Raw genomic sequence first — 13,905 nt, 5'->3', positions numbered from 1 at the left:
ATCTCAAAAACAAAACAAAACAAAACAAAAACAAAAACAATAAAGCTAAGAAGACAATTCATTAGCTGTTTTTATTATTATTATTATTATTTTTACTAATCAGGAAAAGATGGCCATTGTTTTATCTTGATGGAGAGACTTGGTCTGACAGACGAGAATCTCTGGCTGGGGCTATGGATGGAGTCTTGGATATGATACACAAAGGCCTGGGTTCATTTCAGGATCATGCCCTCATCCATCACAACATTCCCTTTATGGGATATGAAGTTCAAGGAAGGGAACTCCGAGCTGGAAGCTCAGCAAAGCCAAAGGAGAACCCAGGTCATGAGACGTTGGCCCCTATAACCCACACCCATAGCAAGGGCCCTGGGGTTACCTGAAGCTTAGGACAGTAAGATGAAGAGTTTGTTAGTTGTCCTCAAGCAACCGCCAGAGTTAGGAGATGAAACACAAATCCTCCAAGGATGAAGGAGAGAAGCTGCTGCCTACCAGCTGCCAAAACACACACTGCTGACCTTATACCTAATTGACTGGCCTTGGAAATGCTAGACCTGGTTTCTGTGAAATTGGCATTCCTTATCAAGGATTCTGGGCCGGCCCCATGATCTACTCTTGGCCATAAGGGTCTTTCTACCTAGCAGCAGAGGGCAACATTTTGTGGCAGAAGAAACTTGCCTCAGCCTGGGAAACACCTTCCAGACTCACAGCCCCCGTCCATGTACTAGAGTTTGCCTCCCTAACACACCCCCAACAAAGAGACCTCGAGTTGCCTCCTTGCCTGCCATCAGCCATGCCTAGTGCCGACATCTATCTGCATGTTCAAGGGTATAGGAGCCCCAGTTAAAGGTCCTGGATGCTTTTCATTAACTTTCATTTAAACTTCTAAAATAACTCAAGCTACTTTCTTTCACATTTGGATTCAGCATTCAAAGGTGGGTCTGAGTAATGCTAAATCACAGACACAACTGGCTGGGCACGCTGGCTCACGCCTGTAATCCCAGCACTTTGGGAGGCCGAGGCAGGTGGATCACAAGGTCAGGAGACTGAGACCGTGCTGGCTAACACGGTGATACCCTGTCTCTACTAAAAATACTAAAAAAAAAAAAAAAAAAAAAAAAAAAAAAAAAATTAGCTGGGCATGGTGGTGGGCACCTGTAGTCCCAGCCACTCGGGAGGCTGAGGCAGGAGAATGGCGTGAACCCACGAGGTGGAGCTTGCAGTGAGCCGAGATCGCGCCACTGCACTCCAGCCTGGGCGACGGAGCAAGACTCCGTCTCAAAAACAAAAGACAAAAAACAAAAACAAAAAAAAATCACAGACACAAATGGTTTGAATCAAAAGTGCAATTTAGGCCCCTCGTTTCTTCCCGACACATCCTGGCTGGTTTATGCATAGTGTGCACGCACACACACACACAACTATAAGGAAATATACCAACAGGTTAACAGTGATTATCTTTGTTGAAACTAGAGGTGAATTTTTATTGTCTTCTTTAAACTTTTCCCAAGTTTTTATGATTGTAACAGTAGTATTACAGTTATAATCATAAAAAGAAAAAGTATTGTCAAGTTTTTGTTCTTGAGTCTTTGTGGGGATGATGATAATAATACCTGAGTCCTACTGGGGAAGAAAACAAACAACAAAAGACAAAAGGAGAAAAATCATTTTAATTGGGAAGCATTTTAATTCCAGGCTTCCCAATATCACGGGGTCCACAGCACGTTACACAGTAAACCAGAGCAGAAGCTCGTTCTTCGCCACGTGTTTGCAGCATGCCTGCTGGCTCTGGGCCAGCTGGAGTGCTGGGACATCACTCTGGGAGACAGAGACCCCATCCTTGAGCAGGCAACCCCGACTTGGAGAGACAGGGATGGGCAACACCACCACAGCAGAGAAGAGGTGCATACATGGGCTTTAAAAGCACATGCCCAAGGTAAGGGGGTGGGGGTACAGCCGAGGTGGGAGAAGGGGGTGGCAGCTGGGCAGGAGTTGAAGGGTGAAGGGTCCCCTTAGCCAGGGGACTGACTTTATGCTATAAGCACTGGGAAGCCACTGGCAGGTTTTGGATGTGACCGAACTGTTTGGGAGGGTGGCCAGGAGCATAGGTTAAACCTAGTGAGGGCCTGAGTAAGGCAGGGCAGGGGATGGAGGAGAGGAAGGGAGAAGGTTCTAGAAACATCTGGGGGTCATAAGCAATGAAGCGTAGAGGGGAGGGGAGGAAGGAGCCAGGGAAACCCTGAACAAGACAGGAAGAACAGGAGGAGGAGCTAGACTTCTGTGTTTCAGTGGCAGGAGCTGGGTAGAGGCAAAGACAAGCTCAGGATCTGACCTCTCCCAGGTAAGCTCATGAGCACTTTTCTTTCATTATCAAACCCCATTCCGGCCCTAAGCTTTGTGTGCTTACTATCCTAAAAAACGTTTCTTGCAGTGGGAAGTCCACATCTCGGGAATTCTATTAATTCTTATATCTGTCTCAAGCATGTACAACACAGAAGCCTCCCTACATTAGACACCTTCACCTTCATGACATAAGGGGGCAGGGACTACTCACCTCTTTTCGTGTCAACAGCAGTGACAGCCTGAATTAGGAGAGGTGCGTTGGACTCCGAGTACTCTACAAAGACGAGCAGCAGCTTCAGGGCTGTCTTCACCACCAGGCGGAACTGGCAGAAGAGATAAAACCATCACATCACTGCCAACAAGGCCCTGTGCACCAGAGAGCATCTTCCTAACCGCAGCGGGCACCCAGCACTTCCTAGATGAGACGCTCTCAGCAATTACACAGATTCCTTCACAGATCCTCACAATCCCTCATTAGACACCTCAGAAGGCAGGTGTTAGTACCATCCCCATTGTGCAGATGAGGAAACTGAGGTACAAAGTTCCCTGCCTGCAGTCACGCAGTAAAAAACAGCACCAGGACATGAACCCAGGACGCATGGCTCCAGAACTCACACCTGGCAACTCTCAAACACGAGTATGTGCTGAATCGATTACGTCTTCGTTTTACCCCAGCTATAACACTGTGAGGTAGACATAAGCACCATTCTTATTTTTCTCGTGAAGAAGCAGAAACAGCAGGTTAAACAAGTCATCCAAAGTCACAACAGCCAGCTTAGGTGGAAGGGAACCGGAACCAAGTACCCCATTCTTAAAGCCAAGCAGAGAAGGCCGCCTGGAGCCATAGAACCCCTACTCCCTGGATCCAGGGCTCAGCATTTGCCAGGAGCCACATGAAGCCCAGAGGCCTTCCCTCACACAGGCAGAAGCCCTCCCTCAGTATGCACCCTCGGGGAGGTCACAGGTTATTCACCTACAGAAAACCCCAAACCTCCCAACTGAAGCTGCCACAGATTTCTAACCCCAGCTTTACCAGCCCTGGGGCTGCGGCAGCCTTGGGGTCTCTGGGTCAGCCTCCGGGGCCCCTTAGGTGCTGCTGCAGGGACTTGCCCACAATTTTGCCCTTGACTCCACTTCCTTCCAAAAGCCTCCTCCTAAAGGAACTCATACACCTCCTGCAAATGGATTCAAACTGTGCAGCCGAGAAACAGCAAGGTTGCCTCGGGCTGTACATTCCACCCCAAGCTGCTGGCTTGTCAGTGGCCCCATCCCGCTATGGGCAAAATGCGCTTTGAGGGGGCTTATTTGCACTGTGGCTGCAGGGCCTGGAATGGCACTTGGCACAGAGGGAGCTGGAAGGTGTTTGTTGACTGAATAAATCAGTCAGTGACCAGGTCAATCAATCCATGACCTCTCGCCCACCCCTTGAGCCTGTATCACTGGTTGTAGCAAATCAGCTCCAGCTACTTCCTGTGTTCTGCAGCCCAAGGAAGATTCTGTGCCTCTCAGACACATCTGCCCACATCACAGTGTTAGGGGACATGGGTAGAATTTATAGGTAAATTTGGGGGATCCCAAAGAGGGGACTGTGTTGTGCAGTCCACAGGGAATAGCTTAAAAACACCACTCACCCCAAGTCATTCATCCACATTCATGCAACCCCTTTACCCCCTTGCTTCCCTCTCCTCTGCTGTCATACCTACCAAGCACACCATTTGTCTTTTCCTCAATTCCACATCTCTCTCCAGCCAGTGCCCAGGTGCTCAGCTCCCCTATATGAGGAAACTTCTTCAAAGAGGTGCTACAGCCCCTGGCTCCACCTCCTAACTTCCCACTGACTCATCACCCCAATATGATAGGACTTCCATCACCACCACTGGGATTACTTGTCCAGTGGCCTCCATGGTATCAAATCCAGTGGTTACTTCTCTGCCCATTTTTGCTCAACTCTCAGCACCATGTGACAACTAACTGCTCTCTCCAAAAACAACTTCCTCTGCCTCTGGGCAACCAAAGTCTCCTGAGTGGCTCCTTTTTCATTGGTTCTTTTTGGGTGCTCAGTCTCTCAGTGTGGGAAGACCTCTGAGTTCACTCCTCTTTACTCTCCTCCTCTCTCTTTCCACACTCTCTAGGTGAGTTCATCCAGTGCCCTGGTTTGAAAGTCCATCTAAGATCAGATGCTAAATATTGCACTCCAGGCCTGACCAAACTCCTGAGCAGGCATCATATAATCTCCTGACATCTCCACTCAGATGCTAACAGATTCACTGTGGCCAAAACAGAACTCTCAATTTTCATTCATGCTTACCCCCTTCCACCTACCACTCCCAGCCTGCTCCCTCCAAAGCCCCCACCTTAGGACAAAGCCCCACCACCCTAAGCACTGGGAAGGGTTTGCCTGCACTTCCCTCACCCCATCTCCACAGCAAATCCACCCACCAGTGCTGGAAGAGCCTAAGTGCTCTGGCCTGGTCCTTCTGAAGTCCATTCTCCAAACCGCAGCCAGAGTGAACACTGCACCCTCCTTCTCTCAAGCCTCAATCACTCCCCATCATGCTCAGGGTGCTGCCTGTCCCAGCAGGCTTTCTGTGCTGGCCTCCGCCAAGCCCTCTGATCTCCTTTCTTGACACCCCCTCTCCGGCCCAGTGCACTTCACATGCTAAGCTCTACAGTTGTGTGAGCGTTTTTCACACAGCAGAGTTCATCCATGATTCAGCGTCTTCTCACTGGTTATTCCTTCTGCCTGAAAGCCACCTGGAACCAGTCATCACAGGACTGACCTCATCCTTCAGATCAGAGAAATTCTCATTATAGAAAATGCCTTCCTGACTCTTTTACTTAAAGGAGCCCCTTGGTCACTAACACATCACCCTGATTTATTTATTTTTTTTGAGATGGAGTCTTGTTCTGTTGCCCAGGCTGGAGGCAAGTGGTGCAATCTCAGCTCACTGCAACCTCCACCTCCCAGGTTCAAGTGATTCTCCTGCCTCAGCCTCCTGAATAGCTGGGACTACAGGTGCGCACCACCATGCCTGGCTGATTTTTGTATTTTAAGTAGAAAAGGTGTTTTGCCATGTTGGCCAGGCTAGTCCTGAACTCCTGACTTCAGGTGATCTGCCTGCCTCGGCCTCTCAAAGTGCTGGGATTACAGGCATGAGCCATCGTGCCCAGCCACCTTGTTTCATTTGAGACAGGGTCTCATTCTGTCACCCAGGCTGGAGTGTGGTGGTGTAAGCACAGCTCACTGCAGCCTCAAACTCCTGGGCTGAAGTCATCCTCCCACCTCAGCCTCTCGAGTAACTGGACTATAGGTACATGCCACCACATCTGGTTAATTTTCTTTAAATTTTTTTTTGTAGAGATAGTGTCTCTCTATGTTGCCCAGACTGGTCTTAAACTCCTGGGATCCAGCAAACCTCTCACCTCGGCCTCCCAAAGTGCTAGGATTTCAGGCATGAGCCACTACACTCGGCCTTTTCTATCCACGTCCTTTATCATGACCTGAAATTGCTACAGACGCTTGTTCACCTACTATATGCCTCTGTTGCCTCTAAGAATGTAAGCTTCACAGCAGCGAAGAGGCTTTATCTGACCCATGAGCTGTTCAGTCAGCATATGTGTGAAGGGTAGGCCAGCCCGTCCTCTGAATCCATCCCTCTATGCTGTGTGGAGTGAGCCCTCCCAGCCCCCAGCCTCCCTTTCTCACCTCGTAGTAGCCCCCAGCAAAGCCAAGCCCCGCCTCCGCCCCAACCATTGCGATGAGGGCAAGTCATGCCCTGGGCTGCCATTCTGGAGGTAACCTCCTCCCCACACAGGGAGCTGAGTACTTTAGAGTGCTGGGAACTCTTCGGAGAGTATCTGCCCTCATAACTTGAGGCCCACGATTGCTTCTCTGCTTCTATTCTGTAGGAATAGACTACATTCCAGTGTATTTTTCTCAACTACACGGTTGGAGGTTGAAGGAGAAGGTATGGCATCACGAGTTGTGCTTTGTACGTTTAGGGCTGAAGAAATTTCTTCAAGTAAATAAAAAGACCTAGCAAGTTCAGGCTTGGCAACTTCCTCAGTGGGTGGACTATTATTATGTGGTTTAAGCCTCTAAATGCCTCCCCAGGAAAGAACCTGGCTGCTGCCCAACCCACTCCCCCCATTAGCTGGTCTCAGCAAGGCCCCTTAGCCCACCTCACAGAGGCTCCCTCTGAGTATCTCTGTGGTGAAGGGGCCTTGACCGATACGGTCTCAGGCACCCAGAATCCCTAAGCCATTCTCCTACATGTGGCTCTCTAATTAAGAAACCACTGTTTTCTAGCAAAGCCTCCTTTTTCTATTGGTCTCAACATGCCTATTCCTGTCTTTCTCTCCTCTGTGATACAGGCTCTGTTTGGAGCTTTTTTGGCACTGTAATTTGTTTTTTTAAAAAAATCCCCAAACATCTTCTGATGCATAATTTTAGGTTTCTATGAATTTGGCTTCTACTGAGTTTAAGTTTATGTGGATGTACCTTTGGAAGCTTTACTATGTAAATTAATAATAAGCATATTAGTTAAATCACTTTAGGAAAAAAGAGCACTAGAACACTAATTTTGTAGAAATGCATGGTACTAATTTCAAGGACATACTAACTCATCGTCAAAATATGTCCTGCAGGATCCTCCTCAGAAGTACCTTACTAGCATTACTGCATCAACTTGAAAGTAAAAAAGGTACATTCCATCAAAAGAATTCTATGAGCCAACCTCATTAATCCAGAAATCACTTACTCTGATGCCCTCATGTATCTGGAATGCAGTCAAAACCCTTGGAAGCTTGGAACAGCCACAGTGGAGGCCACACACCCTCTCCAAGTCCAAAGACACTGCTCATCCCATAGCTCTTAAAAATCCACCCTTGGTGCCCCTTGCGCTTATGTTAGACACATTTTATAATAAATGGAGTGGATATTAAGATTCACAGCCCACGTCTGCTGAGAAGAGGCAAATCGGGGAGGATAATGACGGAGAAGGAGAGGCAGGCCCAGTGTGGCAGCAAGAGAGAGTGTCACAAACGAGGCGAGTGGAACAAGCTGCAAGGATGCCAGAGCACACACCACAGTGTGGCCCAGACATGTCAGCAAAGCATCACTCCAATCTGAACTTTCTGATTTCCAGCTTTGCCTGGCATGCCTTCACGTGGTAACGAAGGGTTTCACTACAACTTACAGGCTCAAGCACCTGCCCATTTGTCCAGCACCGAGAGAAATCAATTGGAATTGATTCTCATTCTTATGGAGCATCCAAGGCCATGGAAGACACAGCAGTCACAAAGCAGTCACACAGGAGTACAGGGCAACAAGCAGGCAGCATCAGCATCAGTGGTCTCAAGACAACCAAGCTGGTGGAGAGGGAGTAGATTCGCTGTCTCTGGAGGCTCTGCACGGCCACTTACTAAGGCCTTTGCAGAAGGAGTTCAGAGCCTGCAGAGGGTGGACTGGCTGACCCCATGTAAGGTCCCTGCGAATCCAAGATTCTCTGCTTCTACTTTCAACAGCGTCTTGAGTGCCGGGTTGCTGAGGACAGATGCAAACAGAGAGCTTTCTTAGAGGACAGCTCCGGCATTGTAGATGAGAGCAAGGCTCAGAACTGGATCCAGCCAGCCCTTTCCAGCTTCCATGGAGCAAAAGAACCATGTGATGGCTTTTGGGGTCCTGTTCACACAAACAACCTCACTTTCTTTGGGCTGGAGAAACACACTGGAGCTCTAGATCCAGCCTTTGGGCTTTCTGTTACCTACATTTTCTTTAATTACAATCTAGGAAATACTAGTATTCCATTTTTAGTTGTCTGTTATAATAAAGACTATGTTTATGTTGTTCTAAAGCATGCAGCTAAATCACAGTATATAACAGAAATCTGAAATAATCCCCTTGCATACGGGGGGTGCAAAAGCAGGAATATACAGATGGCTGTGAATTGTTACACATTTCATAATGATTTAGCACATTTTGGGGGTTACTGAGCTGAGCTTTACTTTCTATTGCAGCTATCATTTTGCACTCTCAAAATAAAGGCTAAAAGCCTTCAGAGGACCAGAGATTCCTCTTGACCCAAGGAAGTAACATTTGTCAAGTCAAGCCTCAGTCCAGGGATTGAACCTCCATATTCCATAAATAACACAGGGCTCAATGTCAGCTCTGCGACAGGGAGGCTGGGCTGGAGGGAAGGGTAGCAGGATGGTGTCAACAAAGAGCCTTGTTCTTGCTGTTGTTTTATTTTCTAGGTCAACCCACAGGAAGAGTGTGGAGTTGCCTGTACAGAACCTGTGTATCTAGATTTCAGATAAAATGTAATCACCAAATATGTGGGAAGGTAATAAAAAGACAGTCTCTTAATACTTTTACACGTAAAAACAAACTGGAAGTCCTTTCATCTTTTATTGCACTTACAGAAATACAAGAACTATACTTAGCAGGTCAAATATGCTGCTCGTTAAGGAAAAATAAAAGAATTCCAAAAAATCTTCAAATTCCTAATTTCTCTTCTAAAAATTCAACAGCCAAAAAAGAAAACAATTTCCAAACCTCAAGATTGAAATTACAAAGGGGGTTGGAAAACCATGCTTCATTTTATTTGTTTCATTTTCCACTAAAACATCATAAATATATGTTATATAAATGGATGCTGGTTATTAAAACTGAATTCGAAAGTGGTAAGATAACTTGATCTATAAAGTTTTACCACATTGTTTACAAGCTCATCAGCACTTTAGAATATACAAGTATTACTATAAAGAAAAAAAGATCTCAAGTGACTTAGGATACAAACTCTTTATTTAAACATTGTATCTCAATGCCATATACTTAAGCTCAGAATTTCTGAGCAAGCAGCTCAGAGTGTGCCCTAAAGCCTTCGTAACTGGTTATCAAACAATCCAACAGACATCCCAGACTCCAAATCTCAACCTTCCCGACCTCTAACAGGTTATCTGTAACATGAGGTGTATATTACCAGAAATAAAGTATAGGCCCAAACATATTAACTAAGTACAGAACTCTGGGTCTTGTTTTGCAGGTGTCCTTCAAGGGAGAGTGTGGAGACTATGGTTGGCACATCCACCAGAACAGGAAGTCATGAGCACCGAACCCATGTGGTCCAGCCTCAGGGCCTGATGGCCAACCTGCTTATGACACAATGCAATTTGCAGAAGGTATAGTAACCAAGTGTAAGGCTGGGTAGCCCTTAGGATTTTGCTAGCGAACAGGAAATCTTACAGAATGTAAAATATAGCAGACAACTCAAAATAATTAAAAATAACAATAAATAGTGCTACAAATTGGCATTTTCTTCTTCTATTTTTTTTTCCAGCACCAGGCTGGAGTGCAATGGCGCGATCTCAGCTCACAGCAACCTCCACCTCGAGGGTTCAAGCAATTCTCCTGCCTCAGCCTCCTGAGTAGCTAGGATTACAGGCATGCACCACCAAGCCCAGCTAATTTTGTATTTTTAGTAGACATGGGGTTTCTCCATATTGGTCAGGCTGGTCTCAAACTCCCGACCTCAGATGATCCACCCTCCTCAACCTCCCAAAGTGCTAGGATTACAGGCGTGAGCCACCGCGCCTGGCTGGCATTTTCTCTATTGAGATAAAATTCTGGGGCTTAGATGAAGGTTGTGTTACCCCGGAAATCGCCTACATGACCAAGTGAATTTCTATCCTACCTTAACTCTGCTTACCTTTGGGAAATACGATGCCTGAGGTCAGAAGCTCCCCCTCCTGACTAAACTGGCTCCGACTGCTGGGATCCAGGGTGGCCGCTCACTTGGCCTCTGAAGAGTTTCTAACTTCATTATCATCTAACTCTCATGCAAAAGGACACTTCCACCAGCACCCTGACAGTTGATAATCACCATGACAACAATGAGAAGAAACCATAAAAGGACAAAAAGAAAAGTGGCATTCTACTTTGAGAAGTTCCCCCCACCATCTCCAGAAAAGACATGACTATTCCTTCCCTTGCTTTTAATGCCCCAACCCCTTCATTGAAGATGCCCTGTATCTGTGACTTCCCCACTCTCTCGAACTGAGGAGCTGATTTGTGAACCACGCTTCCACTTCTCAATTCCATGGCCATCGAATAAAGCCTGTACTGCTTGGTGCTCACTTTTGGTTTTGTGTATTGGCTTCACAGCACCAATCAGGGAAAGACCCCCCTTTTTTGGGGACTGGCTTTGTCAGTAAGAGCTTCTTTAAAGAACCATTAATAAAAGTGGGCAAGAGTCAGAAAACATCCACTTGGCTAACTTTCTCTTCAGATATTCAAGGTAATTATGAATAATTGACAAAATGTAACACGCGGCCAGGCACGGTGGCTCATGTCTGTAATCCCAGCACTTTGCGGGGCCGAGGTGGGAGGATCACGAGGTCAGGAGTTCAGCCTGACCAACATGGTGGAATCTGTCTCTACTAAAAACACAAAAATTAGCTGGGCATGGTGGCGCATGCCTGTAATCCCAGCTACTCAGGTGGCTGAGGCAGGAGAATCACTTGAAGCCAGGAGGCGGCAGGAGGTTGCAGTGAGCCGAGATCGTGCCACTGCACTCCAGCCTGGGCGACAGAGTGAGACTCTGTCTCAAAAAAAAAAAAAAGTAACATGCACATCTTTTATTGTTTACTAAGGAATACCAAAATCCCTGCACTAAGATATTGCCCGAAGGAGCATCTTGATAGTATATGCAGAATGAAATTCGTGGTTGAGGGAAATCAACAAGATTGGGTACTTTTCCAGTTGGCAGCATTCCCATTTTCAAATACAAAACTTCACATTCTAAGGAGGCTATGTAACTTGTCGCATAGCCCATTTCTGGAAGAAGTTAAAGAAAAACCCAGGTCAATCTGATTCTTTCCACTATACTATGGAGGTTCCCATCTTTCACTCTGGTGCAAAAACTTAAGCCTTGGGAAAATGTGACAAATATTATCTTCTGAGTAACAATAAAGGTGAAAGAACTCTCTTAAGTAAATAACCAGCCCTGGAAACATGAAAATGAACAGCTAAAACCCAGGTTTGGCAAATGTGCTGTTAGAAGAGTGTGGCAGGCAGCTCACATCTCTTTGGAGTAGGGGGAGAAGGGCTGGCAGATGGGGGCTAGAGTAGAGAGTGGCAGAACCCTGCAGGCTCCCAGAAGCCTGTGCTGCTTCTGGTACTCTTGCTCATCCAACTCTCCTAGAAAAGGGCAGAACATCTCTCTGGAAGGAACAGCATGCTGCCTACTTTGGTGTTTCTGCATTTCCCTAAATGTTCTTCCAGATTAGAGCCACCCACTTCTACTCTTCCTCCAACTGCTAAAACTCATCTGGTTGCCCTGGGCTACAGGGGCAGAAGAGTCAAAGGTGCACCCTTAGTTTCTGCTTCTTGCGTTCACAAAAATAATGTCTTTGTAAGTTAAAATTCTGGTTTATCAGCAAGCCTCTTAAGAATTGAGGAACCACAATCAGCTCCCTGAAGATGATCATCTCAGAGTGAATGGAAGAAACTGCTGTTTAGCCCTGTGTCTGGAGACCTGTCTGGACAGTGGGGCCCCCTCAGCCTGCTGCCCTCTTTGAGGCCTGGCCTGAATCACTTCTCTCTCACTCTGAGGTCTTCCTAAAACAATAACTAGTAAAACTTGCTTTTTCCCTTTTTTTTCCTACTGAGATTATTCTCACATGGGGGACTCTAACATATCAAATCAGTGAGAATGAGTGTTCTGGGTATGCACAGCCAAGTGGCCGGTAGAAGAGCAACAGCCCTAATGAAGAAGCTGGCACTTTATACCCACAATGACTCCAACACAAATATTACATGACTATGCCATTAAAACCCATGGAATTTTAGAAATCTCATCGAATATAATGTTGATAAACATGCAAAAATTCAAACACAACCTCATTCACTAAACATATTTTTATGCCATTAGAAACAAAGCTCTTTAAACACAGCACAGCATTGGAAACAATTCGATTAACAAGATGAGAAAAGTCGAATGAATAATAGTACATTCATATGACTGTATATTATGTAGGCATTAAATATTGTAGTTTAAAAATTTTGTAGTAACAAAGGAAATGCTTATAATATACTCAGAGTTAATTTTGTAAGAAAAATTTAAAAAATCAGAAGAAAAGGTACCAAAAAATGATGATCTTTATGTGGTAGTGTTTCTAGGTAATTTTTATTTTACTTTTTTTGTATTTCTAAAGTTTTATACAAAGAGAGTATGTTATTTTTGTAATCACAAAAAAATTCAGTAAATGTTTTAAAAAGTTATTTTTTACTATCAAGATTTCCATATTATACCAGTAAACTTTAGCTATTTTAGTTTTTTGAGAAGGGGTCTATGTGTTATTCAAGCTGATCATGAACTGGGATCCAGGGATCTTCCTGTCTCAGCCTCCCGATAGCTGGGACTACAGGCCACCATGCCCAGTTGCCATATTTTTTCTTTAATCTGTAATCATTAACTGAATTATAAAAAAATTAGTCTTAATTGAATTTCTATTAATGAAATATATTTCAATTCAATTAATGTGGGAATTATAAACACAACATCCAATATCAAGGATGGATTTAAGACAATAGTGCAATTCAAGGAACTAACTATAATGTTCTAGCAACTCCCTTTGCCTGGACCATATAGAATTTGCTGGCTGAGTACATCTCATGCTATTGCAGTATATTTACAGTGTTTTTATAATATTAACAATTGGACTTCTGGCTTCCAGCTGGAAAGATGTCGAGTGTCACTCCCAACCTAATAATAAGAGAGAGACAAACAATCTTTCACGCCATAACTTTTCTTGAGCCCATCATATACCTGGGGTTGCAGGAAAACCAAGTAGCCTGAAATCTAGGGAGGGAGAGTGTTCTATCCACCCAGAAAGGGTGAGAGGCCAGCAATGGACTATCATCTGAGGCAGGGTAGGGGAGGAAAATGAAGCCATTTATACAAAGCAGCAGGAAAAACTCAGGCTGGGCATGCTGGCTCACGCCTGTATTCTTAGCACTTTGGGAGGCCAAGGTGGGAGAATCACCTAAGCTCAGGAGTTTGAGACCAGACTGGGCAACATGGTGAAACCCCATCTCCATTCAAAACACAGAAAATTAGCTGGGTGTGGTGGTGTGTTCCCTGTGGTCCCAGCTACTCAGGAGGCTGAGGTAGGAGGATTGCTTGAGCCTGGGCTGTTGAGGCTGCAGTGAGCCGAGACTGTGTCACTATACTCCAGCCTGGGTGACAGAGTGAGACTCCGTCTCAAAATAATAATAATAGTAATAATAATAATAATAATAATTAAACAATAAAACCTCAGATAATAGTTTTAGCAAATTGTCAAATGTCAACTGTGGGCTACCATGAGAGCATAAACCCCTTGGAACTGCAGACACAAAGGGATTTGGCAGCCACCAGTAGGCTGCTCTCCATGGCACTCACAAAGAAGCTGGGGGCAGGGCTGGGACCTAAGAAACTTTCCCAGTAGTGCAGGCCTAGCGGTGCACAGCCACACAGCAGGCAGAACAGCAACAACCCTAAAGGAGGAAGGGAGCAGCCAGCA

General features: G+C 45.7%; 1 protein-coding gene across 45 annotated transcripts in view, besides 1 other annotated feature; it reads right to left on the bottom strand.

Moving 5' to 3' along the window:
• FHOD3 (formin homology 2 domain containing 3) overlaps positions 1-13,905 on the bottom strand; it is a 482,508-nt gene that overhangs the window by 182,771 nt on the left and 285,832 nt on the right. For all 45 annotated transcript variants that reach the window (XM_011526189.2, XM_011526190.3, XM_017026008.2 and 42 more), the window contains one exon: positions 2,552-2,663. In XM_011526189.2, the coding sequence (XP_011524491.1) occupies positions 2,552-2,663 (112 nt within the window). The remainder of the gene's footprint in view (positions 1-2,551; positions 2,664-13,905) is intronic.
• Positions 13,763-13,812: a silencer, noted in NCBI's record as "silent region_9405". NCBI's record gives its function as "represses an Ori minimal core promoter by ATAC-STARR-seq in GM12878 lymphoblastoid cells {active_cell/tissue: GM12878}" and the evidence as "EXISTENCE:reporter gene assay evidence [ECO:0000049][PMID:35858748]".

This window comes from Homo sapiens, chromosome 18 (assembly GCF_000001405.40).
Source record: "Homo sapiens chromosome 18, GRCh38.p14 Primary Assembly".
In the NCBI taxonomy this organism is placed as follows: domain Eukaryota; kingdom Metazoa; phylum Chordata; class Mammalia; order Primates; family Hominidae; genus Homo; species Homo sapiens.
This window is presented reverse-complemented; position numbering and strand designations above follow the sequence as displayed.